At 39.3% G+C, this 16,701-nt stretch overlaps 1 annotated feature.

The window, feature by feature from the left end:
• Nucleotides 234-434: a silencer, noted in NCBI's record as "peak5254 fragment used in MPRA reporter construct". NCBI's record gives its function as "represses an SCP1 promoter by STARR-seq MPRAs in K562 erythroleukemia cells {active_cell/tissue: K562}" and the evidence as "EXISTENCE:reporter gene assay evidence [ECO:0000049][PMID:32103011]".

Here is a 16,701-nt window from a genome sequence, read left to right as displayed (position 1 = left end):
ACCTTTCTTTTTACTTTTACAGATTAATTAACTTAGATGAAGGGAATCAATGTTGTTTCTGTCAAACTACATGTCCTAATTTCCCTTTCCATTGAGAGGCAACTATATATTCTTTTATTTTGAAATTCACTTTAATTTCCCCTTTTATTTTTCAGTAGTTAACTTGCTCTTACAGACAAGTTGAGTGATATTTTTCCCTCTGCATTTGAGCAGTAGTTTTACCAGATAAGGAAGAGTGCTGCTGTTGCCTATTTTTCCTTCTATGTGGAAGGGGGTTGGGAAGGAATGTAAGGCTCTGAGGGTGACTTCCGGAGACACCTTGTGGTCCCTAGGATAACCCAGACACTTTAGATAAACACTGATGTCTTTGGGTAAAAAACATAGACTCAGCCCAGGGCAATGGCTCACACCTGTAATCCCTGCACTTTGAGAGGCTGAGACAGGAGAATCACTTGAGCTCAGGGGTTCAATACCACCCTGGGCAACATACAGAGACCTTGTCTCTATTAAAATGTATATATATATAAGAGATTAAACTGACATCCCTAGACTTGTGGTTCCAGGATATATTTCTCACAAATCATAATTTTCTTTAGCAACACAAGCTGATGGGTATAGAAGAATGTGTTTGCTATGCAGTGAGACATCAAACCGAAGTATTAGGTGATTAAATAAATATCATATGAAAAATGAATCTTAGGATAACTGCATTTTATTTGTTTGTTGTTGTTTTGTCTTTTTTTGTTTTTGTTTTTTTCCTTTTTATAGAGAACTGCATTTTAAAGCTGATCTTCATGGTTTTAAGGAGACAAATATAGAAGAAAACACTCTTTGCCTGATTACAATTTGCCTGCAGCCTGATGCTATCTCTGTGGGTGTTTGCAGCAATGGTTCCATACCTCCTGGGCTGCCAGCCCTGGTACACTCAGCTTCTTATGCTAAAGCTCTTACTTAAGGCATGCAAGGGAAGCAGTTCCTTAAGGAGCACATGTACTGATTTGAGACATCCATGGAAATGTGTGTGTGTGTTTTTTAAGGTCAAAATATATTTTATTCAAATACTCAAGGTTAGTTATTTTCAAATAAGCAAAATGGAAAAGATAATGACTACACTTCATTATGTAAGAAAAGCAAAAAAAAAAAAAAAAAGATGAGCTAAAAATATAAGTTTTAGAGATTGGAATATATTTCCCAGAGGGATATGACTCAACTGCTTAATTGTTAAAGAAAAAAATTGCATTTAAGTTAATTTGACAGGAATATTTAAAAGCTATTTTGAAGTAAATTTTAAATTGAGCGAATTTTAGAAACAATCTCATTAAAGAAATTCAAGAAAGTATGGAATGAGGCTCTTTTGGTATGAACCTGTACTTTGATGACTGAAGAAGTATGGTGTTTTTTGAAATAATGCAAAGTTTTCTTGCTTTATGAACAATACATCTTTATGGTGATGACAGCCATCTTTGGTTGAGCTGCAGATGGCAAATGCCCCAGAGTGATAGTACAGAGCAAAGTCTGCTACTTACACTCAGAGCTTGAGGTAATGGAATAAAAACCTAGCAAGGGAATGAGGTAATGGGATAAAAACCCAGTGTGCTTTGTGACATTGTTCAATTATCATCATCCTCACCAGTAGTAGTAGTAGTAATAGTAATAGTAGTAGTAGTGGTAGTAGTGGCAGTAGTAGTAACTGCCATTTCTTCAGCTATATGTGTAACCCTTCTTGTTCTCCCAATACCTCTCTAAGGTAAATATTAGAAACCACAGCTTACAGATAATGACCTCCTAGTAGGTGGCATAGCAAGATTTGAACCTAGGTATACCTTCTTTACGCTGAAACTCTGATGTGTGTTCTCTTTCCCCTCTATCATACTTCCTCCATTATATATATATAAATTATATACAATAGCATCTACTCCATATTATCTGTATTATTTAAAAATTCTTTTAAATAAATATCTTTTTCTACTGCCTCAGCCATCTGTAGATCTGGACAGAGCCAATCAAGTTTCTTCAGTGAGATGGCTAGAGTTGGCCATGTTTGAAGGAAAACTGGTCAGCTAATCTTAGATGGACAGCAAGGAAGCTGGGAGCAGGCAGTTAGAAGGTGGAATTCCACCTGGTCTGGCCCACCACTCCTCCCTCTTCTTTCATTTAGAAAGGAATGGAGAAATAGGAGGATTACAATGGAAAGACAGCAAATCACCAGGAAAGACTTTTCGGTTGGCACAAACCCTGAATGATCCTGTGGTTATATATTCAACTGCCTATGAAGGTACTGCTGTACTCACATACATATGCAGGCAGTTATTTTGTCTAATGTTATGCTTTTCAGTTATGGTGGTATTCCACTGGAGACACCATGGTGCTTTTTTGATACTGCCCCAGTAAAATTTTGAATTAATGCAAGTAATCTTCCAGAAGGCTGCCATCCAAGATTAGAGGGAAATTTGATTATTGTTTTCTTTTTTTTTTTTTAACTTGAGTACTAATGGCATATACTGACTCTTAAGTTCAACCAAAGTACATGCTGTATTAGTGATAACTATTTTTTTTAAGAGTAAGCAGATTTCAGACCTTATTTTATTATGTAGGGAGGTTAACAATGATGAGGTAGAAAATTCTGGCTATCTTAAAGGTCAATGTAAAAGAAGAATTATTGTTTTAAAAACTTTCTTTCCTCTAACACAATTATATCCCTGGAAAGATGCTCCAGCAAGTTGTTTGAAAGAGATAAGAAACATATTAATGCAGGGTCACTCTGAGTCCCAAAATCAAGGTGCAGACATCAGGGTGTGTGTTAAACTGTGAATTAGAGGCAGCTTCTCTGTCATTTATCTCATTCCAATATTAGGAAATTCCCAATTTCCTGTTGTTCATTATACTTTTCTCTCATCATTTTGACTATGTCTTCAGCCCTCTGGAGAGGTCTTAATTTGAAGCAAATGATGTACACTTGGTGGAGGGGGAGGTGGTAGCCCATGATAACTGGATTACTTTTATCCCTGTTCAAGTATTTTATTTATGAATTTATGTTTGCCTTCACTTGGAACTGCATTTTTGGGATAACCCCTGTGTTAGAAGTGAAATGGAATAAATGCAGGGTGTTTCGCTGCTATTTCCAATAATTGAAAAAGGTTTTTCTTTTAACTATGTTCCCATTTTCTGTGCAAACTGTAATGCACAATGAGATGAAACAAGAAATATTTTAAGTACCACATTAGGGACTGGGTTCAGTGGCTCATGCCTGTAATCCTAGCACTTTGAGAGGCTGAGGCGAGAGGATCGCTTGAGCCCATGAGTTTGAGACCAGCCTGATTAACACAGTGAGACACAGTCTCTACAAAAACAAAAACAAATACACATAAAAACTCACATTAGTTCTTAGACAAAATATTTAGTTAAATTGCATTTCATGATCTGGCAAAAATAGGTCAAACAACAAGACTCCAAACATAGATTCCATCGAAATATTGCCCTGACCAAAAAATTCCTGATTGTAACTGATGACCCACTTGGAGAGAGAGAAGCAATCAAGAAATGACTGTAGTAGTGGACCCTTTGAATTTGCTGTTAAAGCGTTTGACTAGTTTGCGTCTTTAGCAATTAACGACCCTACGAGTGGATCAGTGTTGTTGTGGAACCTTCAAAAGTATAGATGCCAGTTGTCACATCTCCATCACCCACAAGCAACTGAATACTAATGCTATTTTGGAAGATCTAGGGTGAGACTTGGGAGTTTATTTTATTTTATTTTATTTATTTTATTTTATATTTTATTTTGAAACGGAGTCTCGCTCTGTCGCCAGGCTGGACTGCGGTGGCGCAATCTCACTGCAAGCACCGCCTCCCGGGTTCACGCCATTCTCCTGCCTCAGCCTCCTGAGTAGAGTAGCTGGAACTACAGGTGTCTGCCACCACGCCCCGCTAATTTTTTGTATTTTTTAGTAGAGACGGGGTTTCACCGTGTTAGCCAGGATGGTCTGGATTTCCTGACCTCCCGCCCATCTCGGCCTCCCAAAGTGCTGGGATTACGGATGTGAGCCACCGCGCCCGGCCGGGAGGTCTCTGCTTTAAAGAAATTCATAGGTAATTCTGGTGGTCAGCCACTTTTAATTTTGGTTTCATCACTTATTAGCTGTGTGATTCTGGGCACATGTCTTTTAACCTCTATGTACTATAGTTTCCTCAGCTGATTACATGGAGTAATACCTATTAAACAATAAGCTATTACATTAGAACGTATAAATAAAAGTGGCTTCAAATAGTCCTTTGGTTCGTGGTTTTAAAGTCTCGTCAACATTACACCTAGTATTCACGGTGACAGTTGCAGACTGGATGTGGTTAGTTATCCTTGGGACTAAAAATAATTAACTATTCCCCATCCAGAATGCAATGGTGGGGGAAACTTCCCGAGAGATTTAACTTATTCCAGCCTCCTCAATATTTGTTGATACACAAGACTGCACAGTTCACTAGAGCACAATGGTTAGGCACATAGACAAAACACAGAGTGCCTGGGATTTTTACTTCGATTCCACCGCTTTTTAAATATGTGACTTTGTACAAATAATCTAACCATGCTGCCTGTGAAATGGAAGCTTCCTGGGACAGGGATTTCATTTGCCTTGTTCTCTGATGTATATTCAGCTCCTAGAAAATGCCTAATACAATATATTGATTGAATGGATGTCTCAGTAAATGACAAACCAGGTAATAATTATACTGGCCTAGGACCTAGTAGGTGCTAAAATATGATATACCATAATATCATCAGAAATCATTAAGGTAGCCAAATCTACTGGCCTTGATATGTCAGTATACTGTAATAACAGTTGCATTTATGAGACACAGTAGTTAAGACTTACTATTAACTGCTGTGACAGATGAGCACCTCCTTAATACTTTCCATTGTTAAATACAGTTTTCAAGCACCTTACAAAAGACGAGAGTGCTAGTTTTCTTCTCTTTGGCCCTTCCCTACATCCCATCGCCGCCTATTCATCTTCTTTCTCTACTTTGCTCTGGAGCTGACCATTATGAATTGTTTCCCCCTGGCACCTGTGCCCTTTGCTAACCTTTAAGTTTGGCCAAAGGTATAAGGAAATCAAAAAGTGCCTTCTATAGCCAGAGCTCCTGTCAAGCAGCCCTCTTCCCCATTTTCATCTCTGCAGGATTTGGTAACTATTCAATCCTCTTACTGCTTTCGAACTAGGACTGGTAACAGCTTCCTGTTGGCACTGGTCACTGAGTCATTCATTACATATGACTAGTTCCCTAACCACACCAACATCTCTGTACATGTTCCCTTCACTAGTTATGTTAATTAAACCTTTTAGAGCATGCCATTTGTTTTCTGCTGGACTTGATCAACAATAAACAGTGTCATTGTCCTTCACTAAAAGAACTAGCTGTGCATCATCCTGGGCACTGAACAGGAGATGCTGAGCACATTTCCCCTTCCTTACATTGTCTAAGCTAATACAGCCTTGTGAGTGGTAGAAATTACAACAGCACTGTGCCTTAGCAGCCTCTGGAAATGACTACCTTTTAAATGTGAGAACACACAGAATTTGCAGGAACAGTCAAGAGTGTGTAGGTGGGATAAGGGAGAGGGGGAAATGGTTAACAGATGGTTAGTTCTCTACCCACAAAGGGGTAAGAAAGTCATCACCTATCATCTCCCCTGACACTTCTCTTTTTTGCAACTTGGAAATCACTAAACCATGATGGAAACTGAAAATATGTACTTGTTACATATGCAGACATATGTTCATTTGTTCTTCATTCAGGGGAGTATTTGGGCTATTCACATCCTAAATCTATGACATCTTCAATCTATGTCTGTGTTTATAACGTTATATCAATGAATTGCTTTAGGATATTTAAAACATTATTTTATATATGAGTAATGACTATTTTGGGGGTGATTTAGAAGTGGATTGTATTTTTCATTTTCAACTCTAAAATACATCAGGCCAATAATTATGATTAGGCTCTTTTATATCCATGAAAACACACTGGAGTGATGGAATCTTTGTGTGTATGTTCAATTCCCTTCCAAGTTCACATCACATCTTGTTCTGCATTAGCTGGTCCATATTCAAATGCATGTCACAGCTCTGGGTTTAGATTTGAAGGCATATTCTATTTCTTTTTTTTTTCTGGTTATATTTGTTTTATTTATTTATTTATTTATTTATTATTATTATACTTTAAGTTTTAGGGTACATGTGCACAATATGCAGGTTAGTTACATATGTATACATGTGCCATGCTGGTGCGCTGCACCCACTAACTCGTCATCTAGCATTAGGTATATCTCCCAATGCTATCCCTCCCCCCTCCCCCCACCCCACAACAGTCCCCAGAGTGTGATGTTCCCCTTCCTGTGTCCATGTGTTCTCATTGTTCAATTCCCACCTATGAGTGAGAATATGCGGTGTTTGGTTTTTTGTTCTTGCGATAGTTTACTGAGAATGATGATTTCCAATTTCATCCATGTCCCCACAAAGGACATGAACTCATCATTTTTTATGTCTGCATAGTATTCCATGGTGTATATGTGCCACATTTTCTTAATCCAGTCTATCATTGTTGGACATTTGGGTTGGTTCCAAGTCTTTGCTATTGTGAATAATGCCGCAATAAACATACGTGTGCATGTGTCTTTATAACAGCATGATTTATAGTCCTTTGGGTATATACCCAGTAATGGGATGGCTGGGTCAAATGGTATTTCTAGTTCTAGATCCCTGAGGAATCGCCACACTGACTTCCACAATGGCTGAACTAGTTTACAGTCTCACCAACAGTGTAAAAGTGTTCCTATTTCTCCACATCCTCTCCAGCACCTGTTGTTTCCTGACTTTTTAATGATTGCCATTGTAACTGGTGTGAGATGGTATCTCATTGTGGTTTTGATTTGCATTTCTCTGATGGTCAGTGATGGTGAGCATTTTTTCATGTGTTTTTTGGCTGCATAAATGTCTTCTTTTGAGAAGTGTCTGTTTGTATCCTTCGCCCACTTTTTGATGGGGTTGTTTGTTTTTTCTTGTAAATTTGTTTGAGTTCATTGTAGATTCTGGATATTAGCCCTTTGTCAGATGAGTAGGTTGCAAAAATTTTCTCCCATTTTCTAGGTTGCCTGTTCACTCTGATGGTAATTTCTTTTGCTGTGCAGAAGCTCTTTAGTTTAATTGGATCCCATTTGTCAGTTTTGGCTTTTGTTGCCATTGCTTTTGGTGTTTTAGACATGAAGTCCTTGCCCATGCCTATGTCCTGCATGGTAATGCCTAGGTTTTCTTCTAGGGTTTTTATGGTTTTAGGTCTAACATTTAAGTCTTTAATCCATCCTGAATTGATTTTTGTATAAGGTGTAAGGAAGGGATCCAGTTTCAGCTTTCTACATATGACGAGCCAGTTTTCCCAACACCATTTATTAAATAGGGAATCCTTTCCCCATTTCTTGTTTTTCTCAGGTTTGTCAAAGATCAGATAGTTGTGGATATGCAGCATCATTTCTGAGGGCTCTGTTCTGTTCCATTGATATATATCTCTGTTTTGGTACCAGTACCATGCTGTTTTGGTTACTGTAGCCTTGTAGTATAGTTTGAAGTCAAGTAGTGTGATGTCTCCAGCTTTGCTCTTTTGGCTTAGGATTGACTTGGCGATGCGGGCTCTTTTTTGGTTCCATATGAACTTTGAAGTAGTTTTTTCCAATTCTGTGAAGAAAGTCATTGGTAGCTTGATGGGGATGGCATTGAATCTGTAAATTACCTTGGGCAGTATGGCCATTTTCACGATATTGATTCTTCCTACCCATGAGCATGGAATTTTCTTCCACTTGTTTGTATCCTCTTTTATTTCCTTGAGCAGTGGTTTGTAGTTCTCCTTGAAGAGGTCCTTCACATCCCTTGTAAGTTGGATTCCTAGGTATTTTATTCTCTTTGAAGCAATTGTGAATGGGAGTTCACTCATGATTTGGCTCTCTGTCTGTTGTTGGTGTATAAGAATGCTTGTGATTTTTGCAAATTGATTTTGTATCCTGAGACTTTGCTGAAGTTGCTTATCAGCTTAAGGAGATTTTGGGCTGAGACCATGGGGTTTTCTAGATATACAATCATGTTGTCTGCAAACAGGGACAATTTGACTTCCTCTTTTCCTAATTGAATACCCTTTATTTCCTTCTCCTGCCTGATTGCCCTGGCCAGAACTTCCAACACTATGTTGAATAGGAGTGGTGAGAGAGGGCATCCCTGTCTTTTGCCAGATTTCAAAGGGAATGCTTCCAGTTTTTGCCCATTCAATATGATATTGGCTATGGGTTTGTCATAGATAGCTCTTATTATTTTGAGATACATCCCATCAATACCTAATTTATTGAGAGTTTATAGCATGAGGGGTTGTTGAATTTTGTCAAAGGCCTTTTCTGCATCTATTGAGATAATCATGTGGTTTTTGTCATTGGTTCTGTTTATATGCTGGATTACATTTATTGATTTGTGTATATTGAACCAGCCTTGCATCCCAGGGATGAAGCCCACTTGATCATGGTGGATAAGCTTTTTGATGTGCTGCTGGATTCGGTTTGCCAGTATTTTATTGAGGATTTTTGCATCAATGTTCATCAAGGATATTGGTCTAAAATTGTCTTTTTTGGTTGTGTCTCTGCCAGGCTTTGGTATCAGGATGATGCTGACCTCATAAAATGAGTTAGGGAGGATTCCCTCTTTTTCTATTGATTGGAATAGTTTCAGAAGGAGTTGCTCTTCTCCAGGAGTATCTTTGTGGCATTCTCGTATTTCCTGAATCTGAATATTGGCCTGCCTTGCTAGATTGGGGAAGTTCTCCTGGATAATATCCCTGCCAACCTTGTACCTTTGGTAGAATTCGGCTGTGAATCCATCTGGTCCTGGATTCTTTTTGGTTGCTAAGCTATCGATTATTGCCACAATTTCAGATCCTGTTATTGGTCTATTCAGAGATTCAACTTCTTCCTGGTTTAGTCTTCGGAGAGTGTATGTGTCGAGGAATTTATCCATTTCTTCTAGATTTTCTAGTTTATTTGCATAGAGGTGTTTGTAGTATTCTCTGATGGTAGTTTGTATTTCTGTGGGATCGGTGGTGATGTCCCCTTTAGCATTTTTTATTGCATCTATTTGATTCTTCTCTCTTTTCTTCTTTATTAGTCTTGCTAGTGGTCTATCAATTTTGTTGATCCTTTCAAAAAACCAGCTCCTGGATTCGTTAATTTTTTGAAGGGTTTTTTGTGTCTCTATTTCCTTCAGTTCTGCTCTGATTTTAGTTATTTCTTGCCTTCTGCTAGCTTTTGAATGTGTTTGCTCTTGCTTCTCTGGTTCTTTTAATTGTGATGTTAGGGTGTCAATTTTGGATCTTTCCTGCTTTCTCTTGTGGACATTTAGTGCTATAAATTTCCCTCTACACACTGCTTTGAATGCGTCCCAGAGATTCTGGTATGTTGTGTCTTTGTTCTCGTTGGTTTCAAAGAACATCTTTATTTCTGCCTTCATTTCGTTATGTACCCAGTAGTCATTCAGGAGCAGGTTGTTCAGTTTCCATGTAGTTGAGCGGCTTTGAGTGAGATTCTTAATCCTGAGTTCTAGTTTGATTGCACTGTGGTCTGAGAGATAGTTTGTTATAATTTCTATTCTTTTACATTTGCTGAGGAGAGCTTTACTTCCAAGTATGTGGTCAATTTTGGAATAGGTGTGGTGTGGTGCTGAAAAAAATGTATATTCTGTTGATTTGGGGTGGAGAGTTCTGTAGATGTCTATTAGGTCCACTTGGTGCAGAGCTGAGTTCAATTCCTGGGTATCCTTGTTGAATTTCTGTCACATTGATCTGTCTAATATTGACAGTGGGGTGTTAAAGTCTCCCATTATTAATGTGTGGGAGTCTAAGTCCCTTTGTAGGATGCTCAGGACTTGCTTTATGAATCTGGGTGCTCCTGTATTGGGTGCATATATATTTAGGATAGTTAGATCTTCTTGTTGAATTGATCCCTTTACCATTAAGTAATGGCATTCTTTGTCTCTTTTGATCTTTGTTGGTTTAAAGTCTGTTTTATCTGAGACTAGGATTGCAACCCCTGCCTTTTTTTGTTTTCCATTTGCTTGGTAGATCTTCCTCCATCCCTTTATTTTGAGCCTATGTGTGTCTCTGCACGTGAGATGGGTCTCCTGAATACAGCACACTGATGGGTCTTGACTCTTTATCCAATTTGCCAGTCTGTGTCTTTTAATTGGAGCATTTAGTCCATTTACATTTAAGGTTAATATTGTTATGTGTGAATTTGGTCCTGTCATTATGATGTTAGCTGGTTATTTTGCTCGTTAGTTGATGCAGTTTCTTCCTAGTCTCCATGGTCTTTTCATTTTGGCATGATTTTGCAGCGGCTGATACTGGTTGTTCCTTTCCATGTTTAGCACTTCCTTCAGGAGCTCTCTTAGGGCAGGCCTGGTGGTGACAATATCTCTCAGCATTTGCTTGTCTATAAAGTATTTTATTTCTCCTTCACTTATGAAGCTTAGTTTGGCTGGAAATGAAATTCTGGGTTGAAAATTCTTTTCTTTAAGAATGTTGAATATTGGCCCCCACTCTCTTCTGGCTTGTAGAGTTTCTGCCGAGAGATCTGCTGTTAGTCTGATGTGCTTCCCTTTGAGGGTAACCCGACCTTTCTCTCTGGCTGCCCTTAACATTTTTTCCTTCATTTCAACTTTGGTGAATCTGACAATTATGTGTCTTGGAGTTGCTCTTCTCGAGGAGTATCTTTGTGGCATTCTCGTATTTCCTGAATCTGAATGTTGGCCTGCCTTGCTAGATTGGGGAAGTTCTCCTGGATAATATCCTGCAGAGTGTTTTCCAACTTTGTTCCATTCTCCCTGTCACTTTCAGGTACACCTATCAGACGTAGATTTGGTCTTTTCACATAGTCCCTTATTTCTTGGAGGCTTTGCTCATTTCTTTTTATTCTTTTTTCTGTAAACTTCCCTTCTCGCTTCATTTCATTCATTTCATCTTCCATCGCTGATACCCTTTCTTCCAGTTGATCGCATCAGCTCCTGAGGCTTCTGCATTCTTCACGTAGTTCTCAAGCCTTGGTTTTCAGCTCCATCAGCTCCTTTAAGCACTTCTCTGTATTGGTTATTCTAGTTATACATTCTTCTAAATTTTTTTCAAAGTTTTCAACTTCTTTGCCTTTGGTTTGAATTTCCTCCCGTAGCTCGGGGTAATTTGATCTTCTGAAGCCTTCTTCTCTCAGCTCGTCAAGGTCATTCTCCATCCAGCTTTGTTCCGTTGCTGGTGAGGAACTGCGTTCCTTTGGAGGAGGAGAGGCGCTCTGCTTTTTAGAGTTTCCAGTTTTTCTGCTCTGTTTTTTCCCCATCTTTGTGGTTTTATCTACTTTTGGTCTTTGATGATGGTGATGTACAGATGGGTTTTTGGTGTGGATGTCCTTTCTGTTTGTTGGTTTTCCTTCTGACAGACAGGACCCTCAGCTGCAAGTCTGTTGGAGTACCCGGCCGTGTGAGGTGTCAGTCTGCCCCTGCTGGGGGGTGCCTCCCAGTTAGGCTGCTCGGGGGTCAGGGGTCAGGGACCCACTTGAGGAGGCACTCTGCCCGTTCTCAGATCTCCAGCTGCATGCTGGGAGAACCACTGCTCTCTTCAAAGCTGTCAGACAGGGACATTTAAGTCTGCAGAGGTTACTGCTGTCTTTTTGTTTGTCTGTGCCCTGCCCCCAGTGGTGGAGCCTACAGAGTCAGGCAGGCCTCCTTGAGCTGTGGTGGGCTCCACCCAGTTCGAGCTTCCCAGCTGCTTTGTTTACCTAAGCAAGCCTGGGCAATGGCGGGCACCCCTCCCCCCAGCCTGGCTGCCGCCTTGCAGTTTGATCTCAGACTGCTGTGCTAGCATTCAGCGAGAGTCCGTGGGGGTAGGACCCTCCAAGCCAGGTGTGGGATATAATCTCCTGGTGCCGTTTTTTAAGCCCGTCGGAAAAGCGCAGTATTTGGGTGGGAGTGACCCGATTTTCCATGTGCTGTCTGTCACCACTTTCTTTGACTAGGAAAGGGAACTCCCTGACCCCTTGCGCTTCCCGAGTGAGGCAATGCCTCGCCCTGCTTCGGCTCATGCACAGTGCACGCACCTACTGGCCTGCGCCCACTGTCTGGCACTCTCTAGTGAGATGAACCTGGTACCTCAGATGGAAATGCAGAAATCACCCGTCTTCTGCATCACTCACGCTGGGATCTGTAGACTGGAGCTGTTCCTATTCCGGCATATTCTATTTCAAACACTGAATAAATGTTACTAGAGATTTTTAAGCAAATGCATTTTAGCTGCAAGGTATAGCAGAGACAAACTGCATGGACAGTTGACAGAAAAAAATGTTTGAAAGAAATAATAGTCTAGACAAAGAAGACGTTAGAAATTTGAAGGAAATCAGTGAAATTAAAGCCAATGAGATTAACTGGGAATGATGTGTGAACAGACTTGACTGCTGTTCTTTGTAGTTTCAGATCGTAGTAACAGAGGTAGCCAGCTTTAGCAGAGAAATTGATTAGTAAATTGTATGTACCAATTACTACTTATTTCCTTTTGCTACATATATGAAAACCTCAAAGAGATAAAGAAACAACCAAACAAGATTATATTAACAATGCCAAGAAATGTGACACTTTATTTTTTAGGCAAGAGGGAGCCATTAAATGTTTTTAAACAAGAGAGTGACATGATCTTTGTCGTACTTTAGTATAGAATTATTTGAAATGGTGTATACGATGCATTGAATGGAGGATATTCTGGATGGGCAGTTCAATTAGGGAATTGTTGCAATGATTCAGGCATGAGGTAATGAGGGCCTGCATGAAAATATTTAGCAGAATAAATGGAAAAGGGAGGATTATGTAGAAGGAGAAGTGACCAAATATGAACATAGATGTAAGGAAGTGAGTTTAGGGGTAAGAAAGAGGCCAAAAATATTTCTGGGATACTTTAGTCCCTATAGTGAGAATAATGATGCAATGAAAATAAAGGAAATTGCAAATGGGAGGTGGGAAGATTGGTGAGATGGTGGACTCATTGTAAACCAGCTGCATCTGAGAGGTTGGCAATGTATGTTATCAATGCAACAGTTGGAAGTTTTGATGTGGAATTTGAAAAAGGATTTGGAAGTATAGATGTCAACCTGAGAATTATATGCCTAGAAGTAATATGTTAACCCATAAGTGCTGTTGAAAGCACCAAAGAAATGAATATTATGCAGAAAAAGAATGAAGTAAGAGTGGAAGAAAAATCTTTGGAGAATTCTTATCAGTTGAGAACATGAGAAAAAACAGATGCAAAGAGCTTACATTCCATTTTAAGCTTTAAAAGTACTTCCTCATGCATTTCCTAATTTGACCAACAAGATAACCCAGAGAGGGCAAATGGTAGTAACCCTGAGAAAAGAATGCCTAGATATGTCAAGTGACTTGACTAGGGTCACCCAGTAAGTGGTAAATAGAATCAAAACAAAAGTCCAGGCCTCTTGTCTCTTCAGCCGAGCACACCATGCTGCCTTCACAAGCCAGCATACCTCAAAGAGGCTCTTAAAATGAGAATTCCTGGGCCCTCAGGAGTCTGCAAGCTGTAAGTCTGAATAAAGAAGGCCTGAAGAGGGAGGAGAGGCCAAAGAGGCAGAGCTCCATGCGATTTCAGGAACATTACCTTGCTTACACACCAAACTTTAACCTCATACTTCATTTGCACATGGCGTTCCCCTAGCCAAAACCAGAGCAAAAATCACAGGCTCAAACATTCCTTGATGCCCTTGAGCTATTTCTAAGAGGAACCCACCCTCTCAATAGGATTGAAATGATTCTATAAAAACTTCTTATATTTTACTAAAGAAATCGTACACATTAATAAAAAAAGGAAGTGGGGGGCATTTTGTATATCATTTTTATCTCTTGTGTTGTGCTGTTCTAAAACAGTCTATGGGAGATAGCCTCAAGCCTGAGGGGCAGGATATCAATATTATATTATTCTAAAGAGGGCATAGCATGACATCTTAAGAGTTGAAAGGAGTTACTTTGCTTCTTTTGGCATATAACTTACAGAACATGGCCTCAATATTGAAGCAGAAAGGATCCTTGGATACCGACATCATGCATCCCAAAAAGATTTTCAATAGGATAACAAAACATACGCATACATAGAAATATTAGGTCACTTCCCTGGAATGCATGAGATGCATTTTGAGTTTTGCCAAGTGATATGTTTAGGCTTTGTGTCCCCACCCAAATCTCATCTTGAATTGTAATCCCCATAATCTCCTCATGTCTAGAGAGGGACCTGGTGGAAGGAGATTGGATCATTGAGGCAGTTTCCCCCATGCTGTTCTCATGATAGTTAGTGAGTGAGTTCTCTTGAGGTCTGATGGTTTTATGAGGCAGTTTTTCCTGCTCTTTCTCACTTTCTCTCACCTGCCACCATGTAAGACATGCCTGCTTCCCTTTCTGCTGTGATTTTAAATTTCCTGAGGCCTCCCCAGCCATGCAGAACTGTGAGTCAATTGAACCTCTTTGTTTATAAATTACCCAGTCTCAGGTAGTATCTTTATAGCAGTGTGAGAGCGGACTAATACACCAGGCTTGCCACATTTCCCTTATTTTTTGTCTAATGCATTCTTAGAATTTAGCTTATTCATACTGATGTGAAAAAAAGGAACTATTGTTGAACTTCTGCTCTAGTTTAGAAATTATCATGGAGAGCAACTCTGGATTCCATGGAGACCTAGATGTGAAATATATTCCAATATGCTTAAAAATTAATAAACTGTCTCCCTTAAATGATGTAAAGTTTGTAGAAAAGCTCACTCACTGGAAGGAAGTAGCCAATTAATTATAGAGAAAGACCCCTCAAAGGATCAGCTGCATGAATCCAAGTGTCCAACTGTTTTTCAAAGACCTCAAAGCCCTAGGTGGAAAGAAAGGATGCTAACATTTTCCAAGAGCCAGGGACAGGGCTAATGTCTTTGAGTATAGTATAGAATTTGCTTCTCCAATCAACTTTAAAAAGTAGGAGTTATTACTAGAATTTTATACACGGAGACACTAAGGCTCAGAGAAATTGAGTTACAAACCCAATTTTAAGTAGGGGACTTAGAAATTGATTACTGCAAAGACTGCTATCATGCTGCTTCTAAGCAGAATCTGAGATTGCTGATACACAGGGAAAAGCCTGTCTTCTTGATTGACCTCTGTGACGTCATGGTTTGATCAGACAAGCAGAAAAACTGGGTAGAACATATAACAAGGTGTTTATCATGGGGATTTAAGGTAATGCAGTTGAAGAAGCTGATTTCACAGTCTCTGTGAAGTTGTGTTTGGTGCTGAAACCTAAAGCTCAGAGGGCAGGTAGTGGGGAAGGGCAGACAGACAACAGATGGGGAAGTCAAGGCCAAGGTGGAACCTACAAGACTGAGCTGGAACCCATGCGGATGGCCTGGAACTCCTGTTAGTTTCTCATCACCTCCATGATGAGAGTTGCTGAGGGAGAAGTTGGTGCCCTTTATCACAGGGCTAAACATGTTCCTGATCCTGAAGCAGGAAGTTTAGCAGGAGCATGTAGGAACTGTTAGCCCAGCTGCTGTATTCCGTAGTCACGAGAGTCAGCAAGAAGCGACACTAGGGAGCCACACACAGACCTCCTGAGGATAAAGCCATATAGCTGCTCCTCCACCTGGACTTTCCAACTCTTAGGCAAAATGTTTCCCATGGCCCAGGCTTACGTGGAACCATTGAGCAGAGGGGCTCCTGGAAAAAGATGATAAACTAGGCTGTGCCCTATATTTCTTGTCCTTTCTCTCTTACTCATAAATACATTTTAGAATGCAAGTAAGAATAGAATTATTGTATACAAAGTAAATAATTTGCAGTTATTTGGTAGTTCAGCTGTTATTACTATTAAAATATGACATTCCATAGCTGGGCTAGCTTTCCCACCTAGATCAATCCACATGCTGTCATTGAACAATTTGAATATAATATATAACTTTATTATTCAGATTCCCACCATAATAAATGTATCTTTCCCTCCTTAATAAATATCATACCAATATTAGCCTTTTTTTAAACAAGGAAAACCAAACAACTATAGAAGAAACAGAATTGAATGAAAAATCCGGGGAATTCCAGTAGGACAGATTTTATTCAGTTGATATCCTTAAGGATTCAACTGACTATCATAAAGCTATATCTTTATTATTTTGTCTACTTTTTAGTTTTTCAGTGTTTGCTTAGAAAAATGTTGCTATGAGCATTCTATACAGCTTCTCTCGGGAAACTGTATAGGAGTAGTTATGCTAAGTAATAGAATATGCCAAGTTTTAACTTTGTAAGATGTGTCAAGTTATTTTTCAAAGTGAATATAACAATTTTCACTCCCACCAACAAAGCATATTGGATCCCCTTAGTTTACATTCTGTACAATATTTAAAATGGTCAGACTTCCAAATTTTTGTCATTTGAATGAATACAAAATATCATGCCATTGTGGTATTTGTTTGAGTACTAATGAGATTGAACATATCTTTATATATTTATATTGGCCTCACAAAGCTATTATTTATTTATTCATGTCTTTTGCCCATTTTTGTATTGGGTGGATGGTATTTTTCTTATTGAAATGTATGAATTAGAT

The sequence above is a fragment of the Homo sapiens genome, chromosome 5 (genome assembly GCF_000001405.40).
Source record: "Homo sapiens chromosome 5, GRCh38.p14 Primary Assembly".
NCBI lineage: Eukaryota > Metazoa > Chordata > Mammalia > Primates > Hominidae > Homo > Homo sapiens.
Note: the sequence above shows the minus strand (reverse complement) of the source record. Positions and strands in the feature narration are given on the sequence as shown.